This window comes from Homo sapiens, chromosome 19 (genome assembly GCF_000001405.40).
Source record: "Homo sapiens chromosome 19, GRCh38.p14 Primary Assembly".
Lineage (NCBI taxonomy): Eukaryota > Metazoa > Chordata > Mammalia > Primates > Hominidae > Homo > Homo sapiens.
Window position 1 is genome coordinate 34,382,461 of NC_000019.10, and position 20,979 is coordinate 34,403,439.

A 20,979-nucleotide genomic window follows, 5' to 3' on the forward strand; every position below is an offset into this window, starting at 1 on the left:
AGAATGAGACTAGTTACATACCATCCTTGGAAGAATTGACGAGAATCACTCAAGTCATTTTCTGCATCCTGTGGCTCAGATGCGGAACACTGGTCAAGAGAGACTGTGCGGCTTCTAATAAATGTTGCATGGCTGATAATGGAGGGCAGGCACCTTCCACCTCCTCCTTGGGATCTGGAGCCTGAGCAGGTGGTGGGCAGGGATGTGTGGGTGCTGCTGCCAGCCAAGGAGCCAAGCAGATCGGGGTGTCCTTGCTTGTCACCACCCAGCATGTAGAGATGAGTTAGGGTGTGGCTTAAGGAGAGGATGGGTCTGGCCTCCCAGGTAAGGCCTAGGAATGATAGCTGGACACAGGAACATGGGGCCAGGGCTGGCTGGTGAGACCTAAGTGGAGGCCTCCTGGGCCAGGCTAGACAGCCCACAACGGCTGGAGGAGGGACCTGCCTGAGTTACTAGAGTGTATCCTGCTGAATCAAGAAGGTGATATCTGAAGAACCCAGGGATAGGAGCAGGCGAAGTTCCTGCAGGTGGGGTCTCGGGTGAGCTACAGCCATCAGCTCAGGCCTAGGGATGCAGTGCCGGCCCTCAGGTGAGATCAGAAGAGTCCCGTCTGGTAGGGGTATGTAGAAGAGGTAATTCTTGGTCCGCCAGGGCCAGTTTTGCGGCAGCCATGGGTGTCGGGATCAGGCAGGGGTGTGGTGGGAAACCATGGGGTCTCTCAGGGCTCGGCCAGGGTCAGCGCACGCCACAGGGCCAGTTTTGGCTGGAGAGGCCTGAAGCAGAGCCAGAGCAGGTCCAGGTGAGTTCTGAAGAGGAGCCAGGACAGGAGAGGGACCCATAGGTCTGTGAATTCCAGAGGAGAGGCAGGTATTTAGAGGTGGTTCTGTCAGGTGAAGTCTGAGGAGCCAAAGCTATGTATGTGCATATGTCAGCCGGGCTCTGTGGGAGGTGGTGTAGACCTATGGCATGGGACAGGTGTGCACGCTGGGATCTCTGGCCGGTTCCGAAAAGTGAGGATCAGGTAGTGGGTGGCTGATTGCACAAGTTTAGAACCCAGGATTAGGGACACACAGGTCAGCACCTGCTTCTCAGCATCCTGACTGGGTGTGATGGGCAGAGCTCAGGGCGTCAGAGGCCTCTGAGAATTTGTGACTGAAGTCCAAGTCTGTGGCATCAGGGTCTGCAGAGCCCAGATGCGGGAGAGGTAGGAATGTACCTGGTGATATGAGGCAAGGACAGGGGAGCTGGGGCAGGTGAGGCAGGCAGGTGGCATGAGGAGCTGTGCTGGGTGGGTGCGGTCTGAGTGGCTCAGGTTGGGTAAAGGGCCAGAGACCTGGGTCTACAGGGCAGACATCAAGGCTGAGCCAGTCAGACAGTGTTTGTCAACACTGGGCTCTCACCAGGCTCCCTCAGGCCGAGGTCAGCAGCCAGGGATCTGTCATGTGTGAGGAAAGTGTCTGTTCAGGTTAGGTGTGTATAATGCAGCCTTTCAGAGCCGCGTCTGTCTGAGGTCCTAGGAGCTGGAATCAGACAGGTTTGTATGGCTGGGTTTCTAGGGGAGGCCTGAGGAGCCAAGACTGTACTCAGGTAGGCAGAACTGGACCAGTCTGGTAAGGACGTTGGAGCTAAAGATAGGCAGACAGGTCGAGCTGGGTCTGACAAGTGAGGGCTGAAAATCTGTGATTGGGTCCAGGTTGGAGCTGTGTCCTTGGGCGATGTCTGAGCAGCTCTGGTGGGTGAGCCTGGGTCCCCTGGGAAGAGACCAGACAAAGGGATGGGGTCAGACAAAGGGATGACGAACCGCATCCATCAGAAAGGTGGATGAAGCCTGGGTCTGGTCGAGGTACGTAGAGCAGATCTAGCAGGCGAGGTTTCAGGGGTTAAGGTGAGACACAGGTATGTATTTTTGGGTCTCACAGGTTAAGGTCTGAGCCACTGAGGTCAGGCTCTGGTTTGTATCCCAAGACCGAGAAGCTGTGTTAAGCATGGTGGGTAGAGTTTGTCAGGTGACATCTATGAAACCAGGAGCATGCAAAGATAGGTTGACCGGAACAGCCATGGTCAAACCAATTAAACTGTCCTGCAGTTGAGGTCAGGCACAGGTAGAACGGATCTATCAGGTGAGGCCCAAGGAGTCCGGATTAGGCTCATCTAGAAAGACCTGGATGTGGTAGATGACCTCTGAGGATATGAAGTGAAGGCAGGTGGATAGAGCCAGGTCTCTCAGGAGGTCTGAGGAGCTGGGATCTGGCACAGTGAGCAGGTCTGGATTTCCCAGGTGGTGTCAAGACAGATGGGTAGGCCAGGCACAGTGGCTCACACCTATAATCCCAGCAATTTGGAAGGCCAAGGCAGGCAGATCAGTTGAAGTCAAGAGCTCGAGACCAGCCTGGCCAGCATAGCGAAACCCCGTCTCTACTAAAACTACAAAAATTAGCCAGGCATGGTGGTGCATGCCTACAGTCCTAGCTACTTGGGAGGCTGAGGCACCAGAATTGCTTGAACTGGGGAGGCAGAGTGAGCCAAGATGGTGCTACTGCACTCCAGCCTGGGTGACAGTGAGACTATCTCCAAAAAAAAAAAAAAAAAAAAGCGGGGGTTGGGTGTGGTGGCTCATGCCTGTAATCCCAGCACTTTGGGAGGCCAAGGTGGGTGGATCATCTGAGGTCAGGAGTTCAAGACCAGCCTGGCCAACATGGTGACGGGGTGAAACCCCATTTCTACTAAAAAATACAAAAATTAGCTGGGTGTGGTGGCACACGCCTGTAATCCCAGCTACTCAGGAGGCTGAGGCAGGAGAATTGCTTGAACCCGGGAGGTGGGGTTTGCAGTGAGCCGAGATCATGCCACTGCACTTCAACTTGGGCAACAAGAGTGAAACTTTGTCTCAAACAAAAAACAAAAAAAAAAAAAAAAGAAAAAAGATGGGTGGGTAGAAGTTCTTCTCCTGGGTGAGGTTGAGGAGCTGTGGCCAGGTACAGGTATGTAGGTATGTGGAATTGAGTTTCTTGGGTGAGGTCTTTGGAGCCTGGCCCAGGTACATCTTCGGGTCTATCAGGTCTGAAGAACGGGAGTTAAACACAGGTGTGTAGAACAGGGTTTGGCAGGTAAGGTCTTTGGAGCCAGGATCAGGGCAGCTTCACAAAGCTGAGTGTGTTCATGAGACCTAAAAAGTCATAGTCAAGCCCAGGTAAGAAGAACCAAGTGTGTTGGATGAGGTGTAAGCAGCTGAGGTGTGAAGTAGAGGTAGGCAGAGCTGGCCCACAAGGTACAAGCTCAGGAACCCTCATCACATGCAGGTAGGGGGTGCTGGTCCACCAGGCACAAGCCCAGGAGCCAGCATTGAGCACAGGTAGGCAGACTTGGCCCACCAAGTATGATCTGAAGAGCCAACATCAGGCTCAGGTAGGTAGATCTGGCATGCCAGGTGTACTCCAAAGAGCCAGAGTCAAACACAGGTAGGTAGAGATAGTCTTTCAGGTGTGGTTTAAGGAGCCAAGGTCAACTACAGGTAGGTAGAGCTGGCCCACTGGGTGTGGTTTGAGGAGCCAGGGTAAGCACAGGTAGGCAAAGCTGGCCCACCAGGTATGGTCTGAGGAGCCAGGGTCAGACTCAGGTAGGTAGAGCTGCCTGCCAGGTATGGTCTGAAGAGCCAGGATCAAGTACAGGTAGGTAGTCTGGGTCACTAGGTGTGGTCTGAGAACCCAGCGAAAAGCTCAGGTAGGTAGAGATAGCCTTTCAGGTGTGGTCTGAGAACCCAGGGTCAAGCACAGGTATGTAGAGATAGCCTTTCAGGTGTGGTCTGAGAACCCAGGTTCAAGCACAGGTAGGTAGAGATAGCCTTTCACGTGTGGTCTGAGAACCCAGGTTCAAGCACAGGTAGGTAGAGATAGCCTTTCAGGTGTGGTCTGAGAACCCAGGGTCAAGCACAGGTAGGCAGAGCTGGCCCACCATGTGTGGTCTGAGGAGCCAGGGTCAGGCAGGTAGACAAAACTGGTCTGCCAGGAGTAGTCTCTTGAAGGAGAGCTGAGGAGTTAGGTTGAATGCAGGTAGATAGAGTTGGCTCTTTCAGGAGTTGGATTCAGGCACAGGAATGTGCCCCTGGGTGTTTGAGGTGAAGCCTGAAGAACCAGAGTTGAGCCTAGGTGTATAGAGCGGCCTCCCAGGTCAACCCCATAGCATGGGGGTCTCTACAGGCAGGCAGAACATTGTGGGTTTCCTAGGAGGTCTGTGGCCCCTAAGTTAGACGTGGGTAGGTAGATGTATCTCTCTCAAGCAAGGACTTTGTAGCTAGAGAGACATACAGCTGGGGTCTTGCAGGTGAGGTCATTGGTGCGTGGTTCTGGCTTAGTTGTGCTGACTCAGTCTTAGGCCTGGGGACAGTGGGTTAGTCACAAGTTGGTAGAACTACGCATCTCAGCTGGGGAGCACAGGTAGGCAGAGATGTTCCATTTGATGAGGTCTGAGGCTCCTCAGTGAGCTCATTGGTGCTGACGTTAAGCAGAGATTGGCAGCATTGGATCTGTCTGTGAGACATGAAAAGCCAAGCCAGACACAGGATGTGGACTGCCGAGGCCAGGCTCACATAAATAAAGCTGGACCCTGGGAGGCTGTAAGGAATCTGAGTTGGGCTTAGGCAAGGGAACCGGGTCTGTCAGTCAAGGTGTGAGGGGTCAGGTTATGTGAAGCCTGGTCTATCAGCTGAGATGTCTGGAACCCATCTTTGACAGGTATATAACTCTGTAGCCTGAGGCACTGGAGTTGGACACAAATAGGCAGAACTAGGTCTCCCAGGTGAAACCATTGCATCGATGCTCAGTGCTGGTATGTTTATCTGGTGTTGTCAGTGAGTCTGCCGATGCAGGCTCAGTGCTGGTATGTTTACCTGATTATGTCAGTGAGTCTGTGGATCCAGGCTCAGTGCTGGTATATTTACTTGGTTGTGTCAGTGAGTCTACGGATCCAGGCTCAATGGTGGTATGTTTACCTGGTGTTGTCGTGAGTCTGTGGATCCAGGCTCAGTGCTGGCATGTTGACCTGGTGTTGTCAGTGAGTCTGTGGATCCAGGGTCAGTGCTGGTATGTTTAGCTGACATTGGCAGTGAGTCCATGGATCCAGGCTCAGTGCTGGTATGTTGACCTGGTGTTGTCAGTGAGTCTGTGGATCCAGGCTCAGTGCTGGTATGTTGACCTAGCATTGGCACTGAGTCTGTGGATTCAGGCTCAGTGCTGGTATGTTGACCTGACATTAGCAGTGAGTCTGTGGATCCAGGCTCAGTTCCACAGAGGTTGTATAAACATGGTCTCAGGTGGGTTCTTGACACCTGGGTTCAAGCACAAAAGTACTGCTGGGCTTGTTAGGTGAAGTGGGTGGGGTCTAGCACAGGAATGCATAATGGTGAGGCTGGCCAGGCCTGGGGAAGGTGGGTCAGACACAGGTGAGACCTTCGGTGGTAGGGTCAGACACAATTAGGTGAGTAGTGTGGGCTCTTATATCAAGGGAAAGCCGTAGTCATTGTAGGTGTTTGTACCTGGGTCTGCCTGGTGATGTCTAGGGAACCCTAAAGATCAGCTGGGACAGGTATCTGTTCTCAGCACCCTGGTCAGGTATGATAGACAGAGCTCAGGGTAATACAGAGGGCTGAGGATCTGTAACCAGTCCATGGTGTTGGTCTGCATCCAAGATGGCATTGTGCTCCAGTTGACACAGGGTCTGAGTTAAAAGTGAGGAAAGTTGCCAGGCGCAGTGGCTCACGCCTGTCATCCCAGCACTTTGGGAGGCCGAGGTGGGTGGATCACTTGAGGTCAGGAGTTTGAGACCAGTCTGGTCAACACGGTGAAACCCCATCTCCTAAAAATACAAAAATTAGCCATGCATGGTGGCACATGTCTGTAATCCCAGTTACTCAGGAGGCTGAGGCAGGAGAATTGCTTGAACCTGGCAGGCAGAGGTTGCAGTGAGCTGAGATCATGCCACTACACTCAGGCCTGGGCGACAGAGTGAGAGACCCTGTCTCAAAAAAAAAGAAAGTGAGTAAAGTGAGGAAAAAGGTAGATGATGGTTAGATAAGGTGAGATCTGGGGCACTGGGGCAGGTTAGGCCCAGGACATTGAACTGACTGAGGAGCTGCATCTATAATGTATGGTCTCAGAGGCCACTGCACTTAAAGGTGAGGTCTAGAGACCCATGTCTGCAGATTGAGGGTTCGGAGGCTCAGGTCAGACACTGCTTGGCATTGCTGGGCTGTCACAAAACTGGGATCTGAGGACCTGTTCTCGGCCAAGGTGAGCAGCCTGGACTCTGTCAGCCAGAGGGCTGGCTGTGTGCTGAAGTTTAGTTTCTAGAGCTGAGTCTGGGCTGGGTGTGGTGGCTCATGGCTGTAATCCCTGAGCTTCGGGAGGCTGAGATGGGAGGCTGAGGCCAGGTGTTCAAAACCTGCCTGGACAACAGAGCAAGACCCCATCTCTACAAAAAATTTAAAAAATAGTCAAGCATGGTGGTGTGTGCCTGTAGTCCCAGCTACTGGGGAGGCTGAGATGGGAGGATCACTTGAGCCCAGGAGTTTGAGGCTGCGGTGAGCTGTGATCATGCCACTGCACTCCACCTGGGCAACAGAGCAAGACCCTGTCTCTTAAAAAAAAAAGAAAAAAATAGAACTGCATCTGTTAGATGAGATGTGAGAGCCTATGTCAAGCATGATGTAGTCTGTAGGACTGCGTCTGTCAGGTAAGGTTCCCGGAAACCCAGAGCCTTTCCAAGTGAGTGGCCCCACCGGTCATCTCATTGCCCAAGCCAGAAACCTCTCGGCCACACTGGAGAGCTCCCAGAATGAGTCCTCTGCACTCCCCAGTCCATCTCCGGGGCTTCAAAGTGGCTTGTTTGCTTCTGTCCTTGTCTTAGCCGCAGACTGTTCTCAGTCCTCCCACCGTGCCTCTCAGCTTCCACCCTGCGGTCCCCACCCCTTCCTTTATCCTCTGGAAGGTGCTATGCTTCCCCCTGCCTCAGTGGGCTTCCAGGAGAGAATTAAGCCCTCACAGCCCAAGGCATCTACTGGATGTAATAAGTGGGCACCTCTCCTTCGTGTCTAGAAGGTTACTAGTCTTGGACCATCCTTGGGAGAACTGAGAAGTCACTCAGATCATTTTCTGTGGGCCTTAATTCTGTCACGCTTGAGAAAGACTGCTTTGGCCACGGGACCTTTGCATGTGCTGTTATGGCTGCTGGAATGCTCCCTCAGTGCTTCTCTGGGTCATGCCTGCTCGTTCTTGAGATCAAGGGTCAAGTACCCCTCAGGTTCCTTTTATAAGTGGCCTCAGCACCATGTTCCAATTTCTCCTCAGCACTTGTTTCTCAGTTTCACATTTATTGGCATGATTATTTGATGTACGTCTCTCTCCCACACTCTGTGTCCGTTGCCTGTGCTAGAAATGTGGGAGGTGCTCCATAAACAGCTGTTAGGAAGACATCCGTGAAGTTCTGAGGACTCTGATGGCACCAAGTGGAGCTTGCAGGTGTGGCTTGAGAAGGTGCAGTGTGAATGATAGGCCTAGGTGATAGGCCGAGAAGATCGGTCAAGCCCAGATATGACCCACTGGGCCTGTCAGTGTCCAGGAGGTGGGGTGAGGCACAGGTCTAAGGTTCTGGATCTGTCAGTACCACCTGAGGAGTTGGGAATGGGCACAGGTACAAAGTGATGAGTCTTCATTGTTCAACAAAGAATGGCACAGGTGTGAGGATCTGGGTTTGTCAGTATCTGAGGATGTGGGGCCTGGCACAAGTATGAGGCACTGGGCCACTGTTCAAGCAGGTGGGCTGGGGAACAGAAATGTAGCTGTGGGTTTTTAATATCTGAGGAGACCTAGCCAAGTGTAGCAGAGAGCTGCTGGGTCTTTCATTGTCCAAGGAAGCATACCTGGGCACAAGTATGAGACTGAGAAGGTGGGTCCTGGCACCGGTAAGGGGCTCTGGGTCTGCAAGTGTCTATGGAAGTAGGGCCTGGTACAGGTATGTGGTGCTGGAAGAGGTATCCAAGGAGGTGGGCTAAGTACAGGTATGACATCTGGGTCTTCCAGTGTGTGAGGAGGTAGGATCTGGTACAAGTATGAGGCCCTGGGTCTGCTGGTGTCTGAGGAGATAACAGCAGGTTACAGGTATGAGGCCCTGGGTCTGCTGGTGTCTGAGGAGGTAACATCTAGTACAGGTATGAAATCTGGGTCTTCCTGTGTCTGAGAAGGTAGCACCTGGCACAGGTATGAGGATCTGGGTCTTCCCAATGTTTGAGGAGGTAGCATCTGGCACAGGTATGAGGATATGGGTCTTCCATGTCTGAGGAGGTAGCACCTGGCACAGGTATGAGAATCTGGGTCTTCCAGTGTCTGAGGAGGTAGCACCTGGCACAGGTATGAGTATCTGGGTCTTCCCGTGTCTGAGGAGGTAGCACCTGGCACAGGTATGAGGATCTGGGTCTTCCTGTGTCTGAGGAGGTAGCACCTGGCACAGGTATGAGGATCTGGGTCTTCCCGTGTCTGAGTAGGTAGCACCTGGCACAGGTATGAGGATATGGGTCTTCCATGTCTGAGGAGGTAGCACCTGGCACAGATATGAGGATCTGCGTCTTCCAGTGTTTGAGGAGGTGAGTTTGGACTCAGGTTTGAGGCCCTTGGGCTTCCAGTGCCTGAGGAGATAGCATCTGGCACAGGTATGAAGCCCTGAGTCTTCTAGTGTCTGGGGAAGTGAGGCTGGGTACAAGTATGAGGATCTGTGTCCATCAGTATCTGAGGAGGTGGGATCGGGTCCTGGTATGAGGATCTGGGTCTGTCCATGTCTAAGGAGGTAAGATCTGGCCCTGGTATGAGGATCTAGGACTGTCCATGTCTGAGGAGTTACCATCTGGTACAGGAATGAGGATCTGGGTCTGTCAATATCAGAGGAGGTAGGAATCTGGTACAGGTATGAGGATCTGCGTCTGTCAAAGTCTGAGGAGTTACCATCTGGTACAGGAATGAGGAGATGTGTCTTCCAGTGACTTAGGAGGTACGATCTCTTATAGGTATGAGGATCTGGGTCTGTCAATGTCTGAGGAGGTAGGATCTGGCCCTGGTATGAGAATCCGGGTCTGTCCATGTCTGAGCAGGTAGGATGTGTCCCTGGTATGAGGATCCGGGTCTGTCAATTTCTGAAGAGGTGGGAATTTGGTACATGTATGAGGATCTGGGTCTGTCAGTATCTGAGGAGGTAGGATCTGGTACAGTTGTGAGGATCTGGGTCTTCGGGTGTCTGAGGAGGTGGCATTTGGCACAGGTATGAGAATCTGGATCTTCTAGTGTCTGAGGAGGTGGGATCTGGTATTAATTATGAGAATCTGGTTCTGTCAGTGACTGAGGAGGTAGGATCTGGCATAAGCATGAGGATCTGGGTCTGTCAATGTCTGAGGAGGCAGTATCTGGTACAGGTATGAGGATCTGGGTCTGTCATGTCTGGAGGTAAGATCTGGCATGAGTATGAGGATTTGGTTCTGTTCATGTCTGAGGAGGTAGGATCTGGTGCAGGTATAAGGATCTGGGTCTTTCAATGTCTGAGAAGGTAGGATCTGGTACAGGTGTGAGGATCTGGGTCTGTTAATGTCTGAGGAGGTAGGATCTGGCACTGGTAAGAGGATCTGCATCTGTCAGTTTCTGAGGAGGTAGGATCTGGCCCTAGTAAGAAGATCTCAGTCTGTCAATTTCTGAGGAGGTTGGATCTGGCCCCCTTATGAGGATCTGAGTCTGTCAATATCTGAAGAGGTAGGAATCTGGTACAGGTATGAGGATCTGTGTGTGTGTCAGTGTCTGAGGAATTAGGAATCTGGTACAGGTGTGAGGATCTTCATGTCTCTGTATCTGAGGAAGTAGGATCTGATACAGGTATTAGGATCTGGGTCTATGTCTGAGGAGGTAGCATCTGATACAGGTATGAAGACCTGAGTCTGTCAGTGTCTGAAGTGGTTGGATCTGGCCCTGGTATGAGGATCTGGGTTTGTCAGTATTTGAGGAGGTAGGATCTGTCCCTGGTAGGAGGGTCTGTGTCTTCTAGTGTCTGAAGAAGTAGGATCTGGCCCTGGTATGAGGATCTGGGTCTGTCAGTATCTGAGGAGGTAGGATCTCATACAGGTATGAGGATCTGGGTTTTTCAATGTCTGAGGAGGTAGGATCTGGCACAGGCATGAGCATCTGGGTCTGACCATGTCTAAAGAGTTGAAGCTGTGTGCAGGTATGAGGCCTTGGGTCTGCCAGTGTCTGGGGAGGTGAGGCTGGGCATGGGTGTGAGACCCTGGGTCTGTCCATATCTGAGGAGGTAGGATCTGGTATGAGTATGAGGATCTGGGTGTGTCCGTGTCTGAGGAGGTGGGCCCTGGCACAGGTATGAGGCCTGGGGTCTGTCCGTGTCTGAGGAGGTGGGCCCTGGCGCAGGTATGAGGCCCTGGGTGTGTCCGTGTCTGAGGAGGTGGGCCCTGGCACAGGTATGAGGTCCTGGGTCTGCTGGTGTCTGCAGAGACAGGGCCCGACATCTCAGGGAAGACCACGGTAAGCTCTTCAGTTTGTCTTGTGGCTGTGGTCAGTCATCTGTAGTCTGCCCTGTTGGTCTTCCCATGTGTTGCCAGCACCTGCCTGCTGCCTTGCTTCCTGGAGGTGGGTTGGGCCAGGGCCCTCCGAGACGCCCCTGTGCAAGACCAGGGACAGGGTTTCCGGCAGGAGGTGGGGGGCGGGGTGTGCCGGCCCTCCCTCAGCACCTTGTCCTGTCTCTCCTAGTGGGTGGGAGGACGCTACTCGCTGTGGTCGGCCATCGGACTCTCCATTGCCCTGCACGTGGGTGAGTGTGTTTCTGTGTCTTGCAGCCCCTGTGGGAGACAGTGTTGCAGTCTAAGGTCGGGGTAGGGGGCTTGTGTCCCTGAACATCATGCTGTCCTCACAGGCTGCTGGCCTCTCTGCAGCTGGCTGGGATATTTATTTCATGTCCAGAAGGAAGGTCTGGGTTTTTTTGCGTGTGCAAGTTGGCCCCCGTCTTTGCCCCTCACAACTGCAGTCCTGTTTCTCTCCTATCCTAGGCAGAGTCAGATCCCTGCACTCAGGGCCACCTCTCACTGGAGGGGCTTTGTCTAGGTCCGAGTCCTCCCATGTCGTATCTTCTGGCTCTCCATGCAGCCTTCCTTCGTTGCAGAAGGAGCTGTGCCCACTGCCCACAGGACGCAGGGTGTGGCCACTTCTGTTGACTCTGCTTTTGTGTCACAGGTTTTGACAACTTCGAGCAGCTGCTCTCGGGGGCTCACTGGATGGTGAGTGCTGAGGCTGGTTCTCTGCCAAGTGCTGGCCAGAGGCGCGTGTGTTGGTCCTGGTCCCCCGCTTTCTCCCCCACTGTCCTGTCCCTCCCCTCCCCGTGCAGCTGCTCAGCTCCCACTCATCCTGCTCCTGTTTCAGGACCAGCACTTCCGCACGACGCCCCTGGAGAAGAACGCCCCCGTCTTGCTGGCCCTGCTGGGTATCTGGTACATCAACTGCTTTGGGTGTGAGACACACGCCATGCTGCCCTATGACCAGTACCTGCACCGCTTTGCTGCGTACTTCCAGCAGGTACCAGCTGCCAAGCCAGGCCTTGGAGTCAGCAAGATTTGTGGGGGGTCTGGGAGGTCTAGGAACCTGGGTTTCAGCTCCTCCAGGAGCTCTTTGCCCCATTGCCCTTGGGCCTGGCCAAGGTCCATCTGTGCTCCTTGTCTCAGGATGAATCTTTGTAACTGAGGTTGGTTCCATTTGAGTGTCATCTGAGTTTGATCACCATGGGAGGGGCATGACTGGTGATCATGGTGCCCTGGCTAGGGAGGTCCTGGCTTGACTCAGGGGATGTTTCTCAGCTGGGGTCACTTCTTTCTTGCACATCACTATGCATGCCTACCATAGTGTCTGAGGACGTAGGATCTAGCCCTGGTATGAGGCCCTAGGTCTGTTAGTATCTGGGGAGGAAGGATCTGGTACAGGTATGAGGACCTGGGTCTGTCCATGTCTGAGGAGGTGGGATTTGGCCATAGGGTGGGGCTGCAAGCTGGAATCCCTTATAGCCTGCACTGCCTTTATCCCTCCAGAAAAGCAAGTGTGTATCTAGTCTGTGGTGGCCTCTTTGGACTACATGGCCCTCTTCTCCCTTGGGATCTCCAGAGCCCCCCGAGAGGCTTAGCAGGCCCTCTCCTAGTCACATTATGTCCCAGAAAGCTTTTCCACACCTGTCCCTGCTTTTTTTTTTTTGAACAGATTCTCACTCTGTTTCCCAGGCAGGAGTGCAGTGGCGCGATCTCGGCTCATTGCAACCTCCGCTTCCTGAGTTCAAGCAATTCCTGTGCCTCAGCCTCCCGAGTAGCTGGGATTGCAGGCATGCACCACCTTGCCTGGCTAATTTTTGTATTTTTAGTGGAAACGGGGTTTCACTATGTTGCCCAGGCTGGTTTCGAACTCCTGGCCTCAAGCGATCCACCTGCCTTGGCCTCCCAAAGTGCTGGGATTACAGGCATGAGCCACCATGCCCAACCCTATCCTTGCTTTTGTTTAGTACAAAGCCAGTCCCTGTCCAGCAGCTCTTGAGTTGCTCTGGGCAGGTACAGAAGGCTTCACCAACACCTGGAAGCAAATCCTGTGACTGAAGGAGAGGCCAAGGTTCCCCAAATCCCAGCTGCCTTGGTGAGGGTTGCCATGACCAGGGCCCAGGTGGGTACCCAAAGCCTAGCATTTAGTTGTGGTGACAGCCCTCAAAGGCTGTACTCTTAGCCAGGCATGGTGGCTGATGCCTGCAATCCCAGCACCTTGGGAGGCAGAGGCTGGGGGGAATTGCTTGAGCCCAGGAGTTCAAGACCAGCCTGGGCAACGTAGTGAGGCCCGGTCTCTACAAAAAAAACCCACAAAAACTAACAGTAGCCAGGCATGGTGGTGCGGCACCTATAGTCCCAGCTACTTGGGAGGCTGAGGCAAGAGGCTTGCTTGAGCCCAAGAGGTCGAGGCTTCAGTGAGCAATGATTCTACCACTGTACTCCAGCCTGAGTGACAGAGTGAGACTCTGTCTCTTTGGGAAAAAAAGAAGCTGTGCACTCTGGACCCCAGCCTGCTCTCCCTTAAGAAATGAGCTGATTTTGTGACCGATTTTGTCTTTAGGGAGGTCCTTGCCTGACCTCCAGACCCACCTTTTCCTGGGCATGAGTCCTTCCTGCACAGTGGCTTAAGCAGGAAAGGTTGGGAGGCTGTGTCCTCACTGGTGTGGGGAGGAAGGGGATCGTGCCTGTGGACACGTGTGCAGGTCCACCTCACGGTGTCAGGGCAGGGTGGGTCTGCCTGGAGCATCTGGGCAGGACTTTGGCATGGTGCAGGAAGGAGCAGGATTTGCGTACAGTGTGTGAAGGATCAAGACTTGCAGGAAGAGGGTTGGGTTTTTTTTCTTTCTTTTCCTTTCTTTTCCTTTTTTTTTTTTTTTCTTTTTTTTTGAGTTGGAGTTTTGCTCTTGTTGCCCAGTCTGGAGTGCAGTGGCATGATCTCGGCTCACCACAACCTCCGCCTCCCGGGTTCAAGCGATTCTCCTGCCTCAGCCTCCCAAGCAGCTGGGATTACAGGCATGCGCCATCACACCTGGCTAATTTTGTATTTTTAGTAGAGACAGGGTTTCTCCATGTTAATCAGGCTGGTCTCAAACTTCCAACCTCAGGTGATCCGCCTGCCTTGGCCTCCCAAAGTGCTGGAATTACAGGCTTGAGCCACTGCGCTCAGCCTCTTTCTTTCTTTTTAAATGTTCTTTCATTTTGCCAAGAACTGGGTTTCTGTTCCTTTTCCAGGGCGACATGGAGTCCAATGGGAAATACATCACCAAATCTGGAACCCGTGTGGACCACCAGACAGGCCCCATTGTGTGGGGGGAGCCAGGGACCAATGGCCAGCATGCTTTTTACCAGCTCATCCACCAAGGTAGGCCCCTGTGGCCTGGGAAGGGTGATGTTGGGGGAGGGAAAGGATCTTCCAGAAGAGATATCTCACTTAGGTCAGTGCCCTCCTCTAGGCCATATGGCTAGCTCCCATGGGCTGGGGTCATGTGGGTGACCACAGTGCCCTTCACAGGCACCAAGATGATACCCTGTGACTTCCTCATCCCGGTCCAGACCCAGCACCCCATACGGAAGGGTCTGCATCACAAGGTAAGAGCCCCCATCTGGCCCCATCTGGGGGGTCTGGCTCACATTGCACCCAGACCTCTGAAAACCTGGTGCATTGGTTGGCAATCACGTTAGTTTTCTATTCCTGCCGTAACAAATGATAACAAACATGGAGGCTTAAAACAACACTCTTCTTTTGTGGGGTGGGGAGGGGGGACAGAGTCTTGCTCTGTCGCCCAGGCTGGAGTGCAGTGGCACGATCTTGGCTCACTGCAACCTTCCCCTCCCGGCCTCAAGTGATTCTTATGCCTCAGCCTCCCAAGTAGCTGGGACTACTGGCACTCACCACCATGGCCAGCTAATTTTTGTAGTTTTGGTAAAGGGGGGGTTTCACTATGTTGGCCAGGCTGGTCTTGAACTCATGACCTCAAGTAATCTACCTGCCTCGGCCTCCCTAAGTGCTGGGATTATAGGCATGAGCCACCTTCCTGGGCTATCTGAAGAGTTTCTGAAGCTCAAATATCCAGCAGGCCCTGATGTGTCTCTGCTTAGAGTCTTGCAGGCTGAAATCAAGGTGTCATCAGGACTGTGTTTCTTTCTGGAGACCTTAGGGGAAAAGCCTTTGACCTGCTTGTCAGGTGGTTGGCAGAATTCATTTCTCTATGGTTGTGGAACTGAAGTCCAGCTTCCTTGCTGTGGGCTGAAGGTCGTTCTCAGATTCTCAGAGGTCACCTGCATCCTCTAGCTTGTGGGCCTCTTCACTGCAGAACCAGCAATGGCAGGTTAAATCCTTCTCTGAAGCTTTGATTCTGTCTTGCCACTTCTGTTGCATCTCTCTGACTTGTTTACCTTCCTCTTCTACATTTTGCTTTTGTTCCCTAAGTGACAGTGTCATGCTGTGTTGTCTAGGCTGGACTTACAGTGGCATGATCACAGTTCACTGTATTCTCAACGTCCCAGGCTCAAGCAGTCTTCCTGCCTCGGCCCCTCAAATAGCTGAGACTTACAGGCACTAACAGGCACTTACAGGCACTTACAGGCACTAACAGCCTGGCTAACTGTTAAACTTTTTGTAGAGGCCAGATTTCACTATGTTGCCTAGGCTGGTCTCCAACTCCTGGGCTCAAGTGATTCTCCTGCCTCGGCCTCCCAAAGTTTTGGGATTACAGGCATGAGCTACCGTGCCTGGCCCTCTTTTACTTTTAAGGGCCAGTGTGATTAGATTGGGGCTACTAGATAATCCAGGAAAATCTCCCCTTTTGTTTATTTTATTTATTTATTTTATTTTAGAGATAGCATGTCACTCTGTTGCTGAGGCTGGAGTGCACTGGCCCAATCATAGCTCACTACAGCCTTGAACTCCTGGGCTCAAGCAATCCTTTTATCTCAGCCTCCTGAGTAGCTGGGACCACAGATGTACAACATGCCTGGCTAAGTTTTTTTTTTTTTTTAAAGAGACAGAGTCTTGCTCTGTTGCCCAGGCTGGGGTGCAGTGGCACAATCAGGCTCTCTGCAGCCTCACCCTCCTGGGCTCAAGCAATCCTCCTACCTCAGCCTCCTGAGTAGCTGGGAACAGGCACACGCCACCACACCCAGCTGATTTTTTTATTTTTATTTTTTGTAGAGATGGAGTCTCAGTATGTTGCCCAAGCTGCCCTCGAACTCCTTCAGAGAATTTACTGTGCTTTGTCTCAGGTGTGCAGAGCAGCACAGGGTTACGGTAGCACAATCTTGGGAGTCAGTGAGCTGGATTGAATTCTGATTGTTCCTGTCTATAGTTCTGTGATCCAGCACTGTGGACTTGTGGAACCCAAGGCTCTACTAGAACAGGGCGATGATGCCTTTCCTCCTTAGGATCTTAGTATTATTTTTTTTTCGAGACACCGTTTCACTTTGTTGCCCCGGCTGGAGTGCAGTAGTGTGACCTTGACTCACTGCAACCTCAGCCTCCTGGGTTCAAGTGATTCTCGTGCTTAAGCCTCCGGAGTAGCTGGAATTACAGTTGCACACCACCACGCCCAGCTACCTTCTTAGGATCTTAAAAGATAGATGTTGGTAAAATTGTGAGCAGGACCCCTAGCAAGTGGTGTGTAGTTCTTTTTTTTTTTTTGAGATGGAGTCTAGGTCTGTCGCCCAGGCTGGAGTGCAGTGGCGTGATCTTGGCTCACTGCACCCTCTGCCTCCCAGGTTCAGGTGATTCTCCTGCCTCAGCCTCCTGCCTGATGACAGGCATGCGCCACCATGCCCAGCTAAATTTTTTTTTGGTATTTTTAGTAGAGACGGGTTTCACCATGTTGGTCAGGCTGGTCTCGAGCTCCTGACCTCGTGGTCCATCCGCCTCGGCCTCCCAAAGTGTCGGGATTACAGGCGTGAGCCACCGCGCCTGGCCACTGGTGTGTAGTTCTTAAAGAGCAGTTATCACTGTTCCCTGCCTTGTGGTGTCATCGGATGTGTCCCCCTCGCTCCAACTGAGCTGTACAGCGAGTGACCCAGGCTGGGACTGACCCCTGCTGAGAAGTACCAGGCGGTCTTGTCCCTCTGCCTGAAGCCCAGACAGTGCTCTCAAGCATAACTGATGTCTCGCTCATCAGATCCTCCTGGCCAACTTCTTGGCCCAGACAGAGGCCCTGATGAGGGGAAAATCGACGGAGGAGGCCCGAAAGGAGCTCCAGGCTGCGGGCAAGAGTCCAGAGGACCTTGAGAGGCTGCTGCCACATAAGGTCAGCACTTCTGCATTTGGCTTTGGGGTGCATGCTGGAGTTGGAGGTGTGAAGCTATGGCACCAGGCAGGGGCTTGGGGCGTGCCTGGCTTGTCCTACAGAATGGGAGGGCCTGTCCTCACAGACCTGCACGTCTCAGCCTCTGGGGCAGGGTGTGCTTCCCTTCAAGGGGTTTAGGGATCAGGACTCTCTTGGAGACATTCCTTGGTGTTTTCTGCAGGTCTTTGAAGGAAATCGCCCAACCAACTCTATTGTGTTCACCAAGCTCACACCATTCATGCTTGGAGCCTTGGTCGGTGAGTGAGTAGGGGAAAGGTCCTGGCTTGGGGTAGGTTGGAATGGGCTTGTGGAGCCCTGATGTGCCCTGTCTGTCACTTCTGCAGCCATGTATGAGCACAAGATCTTCGTTCAGGGCATCATCTGGGACATCAACAGCTTTGACCAGTGGGGGTGAGTTGCTCACTTAGGGGAGGGCCGGGAATACCTTTGTGTCGGCTCAGGGATTTCAGTAGCAACGTTAGAGCCTTCCTCATACCACTCTTCCCTTCCCTTCCCTTCTTGGCAGAGTGGAGCTGGGAAAGCAGCTGGCTAAGAAAATAGAGCCTGAGCTTGATGGCAGTGCTCAAGTGACCTCTCACGACGCTTCTACCAATGGGCTCATCAACTTCATCAAGCAGCAGCGCGAGGCCAGAGTCCAATAAACTCGTGCTCATCTGCAGCCTCCTCTGTGACTCCCCTTTCTCTTCTCGTCCCTCCTCCCCGGAGCCGGCACTGCATGTTCCTGGACACCACCCAGAGCACCCTCTGGTTGTGGGCTTGGACCACGAGCCCTTAGCAGGGAAGGCTGGTCTCCCCCAGCCTAACCCCCAGCCCCTCCATGTCTATGCTCCCTCTGTGTTAGAATTGGCTGAAGTGTTTTTGTGCAGCTGACTTTTCTGACCCATGTTCACGTTGTTCACATCCCATGTAGAAAAATAAAGATGCCACGGAGGAGGTTGTAGGCTCAGCCTCTGATTTTTTTTTTCCTGTGATGGTGCTTTATGTAGCAGAGGGCAGGAGCGCTCAGCAGGACGCAGGCTGTGCCTCTGCGGACACTTAACACTAAGTGGTGAGCGGGTCTAGAGTGGAGCAAGGTGCCCTGAGAAGACAATAGTGGGGTGGGGGCACAATCAGTCAGGACGGCAACTTGGCCTGTGTCACCAAATCCCAAGACTGTTTTCCACTCCTCACCTCTGTGACTGCAGAAATTGGATACTCTGTTCACTCGATGGTTCTAAAAACTGCATTGAGATTATGTTTGTTTCGGGTGAATTCCTGGACAAGACCGAGGATGACTGCCATCTCCTGGCAAGACGCTCAGGTAGTTCTTTTGCTTTAAAAGGCAGATATTGAAAACTGGAATTTTTTTTTTTTGAGTCTCGCTCTGTCACCCAGACTGGAGTGCAGTGGTGCAATCTCGGCTCACTGCAACCTCCGCCTCCCGGGTTCAAGCTATTCTCCTGCCTCAGCCTCCCGAGTAGCTGGGATTACACGGCGCACACCACCATACCCAGCTAATTTTTGTATTTTTAGTAGTGAAGGGGTTTTACCATGTTGGGCAGGCTGGTCTTGAACTCCTGACCTCAGGTGATCTGCCCGCCTCAGCCTCCCACAGTGCTGGGATTACAGGTATGAGCCACCACGCCCGGCCCATTTTTTTTTTTTTTTTGACAACTTTTTTTTTTTTTTGAGACAGGGTCTTGTTCCATTGCCCAGACTGGAGTGCAGTGGCATGATCACAGCTCACTGCAGCCAGTAATCCTCTTGCCTCAGCCTCCCAAGTAGTTGAGACTACAGGTTGTACCACTATGCCCTGCTAGTTTTTTCATTTTTTGTAGAGAGACGGGTCTTTTTTTTTTTTGAGACGGAGTCTCGCTCTGTCGCCCAAGCTGGAGTGCAGTAGCACGGTCTCAGCTCATTGCAAGCTCCGCCTCCCAGGTTCACGCCATTCTCCTGCCTCAGACTCCTGTGTAGCTGGGAGTACAGGCACCTGCCACCATGCCCGGCTAATTTTTTATATATTTTTTTAGCAGAGACAGTGTCTCACTGTGTTAGTCAGGATGGTCTCGATCTCCTGACCTCGTGATCCGCCCGCCTCAGCCTCCCAAAGTGCTGGGATTACAGGCGTGAGCCACCGCGCCCAGCAAGGCGGGTCTTGCTGTGTTTCCCAGACTAGACTGGTCTTGAATTCCAGGGCTCAAGAGATCTCCCACCTCAGCCTCCCACAGTGCTGGGATTACAGGCGTGAGCCGCCACACCCAGCCTATTCAAAATTTTTTTTTCTTAGAGACAGGGTCTTTGTTGCCCAGGCTGGACTGCAGTGATACAATCATAGCTGACTGAAGCCTCAAATTCCCAGGCTAAGGTGATCTTCTCACCTCAGCCTTCCAAGTAGCTGGGTCCGCAGATGCATGCCAGTACACCCAGCTCATTTAAAAAAAAATTTTTTTCTTTTTTGAGAGTCTTGCTTTGTTGCCCAGGCTGGAGTGCAGTGGTGTGATCTCGGCTCACTGCAAGCTCCACCTCCCGGCTTCACGCCATTCTCCTGCCTCAGCCTCCCGAGTAGCTGGGACTACAGGTGCCCGCCACCACACCCGGCTAATTTTTTGTATTTTTAGTAGAGACGGGGTTTCACCGTGTTAGCCAGGATGGTCTTGATCTCCTGACCTCATGATCCGCCTGCTTTGGCCTCCCAAAGTGCTGGGATTACAGGCGTGAGTCACCGCGCCCGGCTCATTTTAAAATTTTTGTAGATCAGTGTACTGTTGTAAAAAAAAAAAAATAAGAAAAATAAAAAATAAATTTTTGTAGTGATAGGATCCCACTGAGGCCAGAGAATAGGGTCTGGAGACAAAGGAGCATTCACTTCAGCCTCTGACTGGTGGCAGGCCAAGTCTTTATTTACATAGGGTGTAACCAAATAGGAAACCTCTAAAGGGTACTTAAACCCCAGATTTTCTACACAGGGCACTTGCTTGAGCCTCATCCCGCTTTCTGGAATGTACTTTTGCTTCAATAAATCTGTGCTTTTGTTCCTTCTTTTGTTGCTTTGTGTGTTTTGTCCACCTCTTTGTTCAATATTCCAAGAACCTGGACGACTTGTAGTCAAGATCCTCCCCTGGTAATACTACTGTGTTGCCCAGGCTTATCTTCAACTCCTGGGCTTAAGAGATCCTCCTGCCTTGGCCTCCGAAAGTGTTGGGATTACAGGCGCAAGCCACTGTGCCCAGCATCACAGGGCCTTTTAAAGCTATCAGGATGAAGTGTGGTAAAAAAAGGAGTAAATGGGTTTCATCTCCAGATCCTTGCTGGGCTAGAGCCAAACCTCACAAAGGCTGGTGCTTCCTCCTTTGAGGTGTAAATCCTTGAAAACATTCATTTCTTTTGCATACCACGTTATGAATCCTAAAATAATGTTTTTGCAGCCTGCATTTTTAAAAAGTCAGGTTTATTGGGGTGTGATTTACATATAGTAAGATTCACCTTTCTTTGGTATACAGTTATGAGTTTTCACAAGTGTATATACAGTCTTAGAACCATTACAGATGAGATATACAGCATTTTCCTCACCCTCAAAAGTTCCTGACACTTGTGGTCCAGTCCTACTCCCTCATCCCAACTCCTGACTACCATTGAACTGATTTTTTTCCCTCCGAAGTTCTGCGTTTACCAGAATGGCGCCTTTTGTGTCTGGCTTCTTCCCATGATGCTTTTGAAATTCACCCATGTTGTGCTGCAGGAATTGAAAAAACTGTATTGTGTGGCTGGGCGCGGTGGCTCACACCTGTAATACTAACACTTTGGGAGGCCGAGGTGGGCAGATCACTTGATTTCAGGAGCTCGAAACCAGCCTGGCCAACATGGTGAAACCCCGTCTCTACTAAAAATACAAAAAAGGCCGGGCATGGTGGCTCACGCCTGTAATCCCAGCACTTTGGGAGGCCAAGGTGGGCGGATCACCTGAGGTTGGGAGTTCGAGACCAGCCTGACCAACATGGAGAAACCCCATCTCTATTAAAAATACAAAATTAGCCAGGCATGGTGGCACATGCCTGTAATCTCAGC

At 52.2% G+C, this 20,979-nt stretch overlaps 1 protein-coding gene across 8 annotated transcripts in view; it reads left to right on the forward strand.

Annotated features, from left to right (window-relative positions):
- GPI (glucose-6-phosphate isomerase) overlaps positions 1-19,953 on the forward strand; it is a 42,696-nt gene extending 22,743 nt beyond the window's left edge. For 7 of the 8 annotated variants that reach the window (NM_001440422.1, NM_001289789.1, NM_001184722.1 and 4 more), the window contains 9 exons: positions 10,788-10,848; positions 11,268-11,311; positions 11,454-11,606; positions 13,841-13,970; positions 14,121-14,197; positions 16,747-16,875; positions 17,096-17,171; positions 17,259-17,325; positions 17,441-19,953. In NM_001440422.1, the coding sequence (NP_001427351.1) occupies positions 10,788-10,848; positions 11,268-11,311; positions 11,454-11,606; positions 13,841-13,970; positions 14,121-14,197; positions 16,747-16,875; positions 17,096-17,171; positions 17,259-17,325; positions 17,441-17,576 (873 nt within the window). In that variant the 3' untranslated portion in view covers positions 17,577-19,953. The remainder of the gene's footprint in view (positions 1-10,787; positions 10,849-11,267; positions 11,312-11,453; positions 11,607-13,840; positions 13,971-14,120; positions 14,198-16,746; positions 16,876-17,095; positions 17,172-17,258; positions 17,326-17,440) is intronic. The other variant, NM_001329911.2, reaches the window with a different exon arrangement.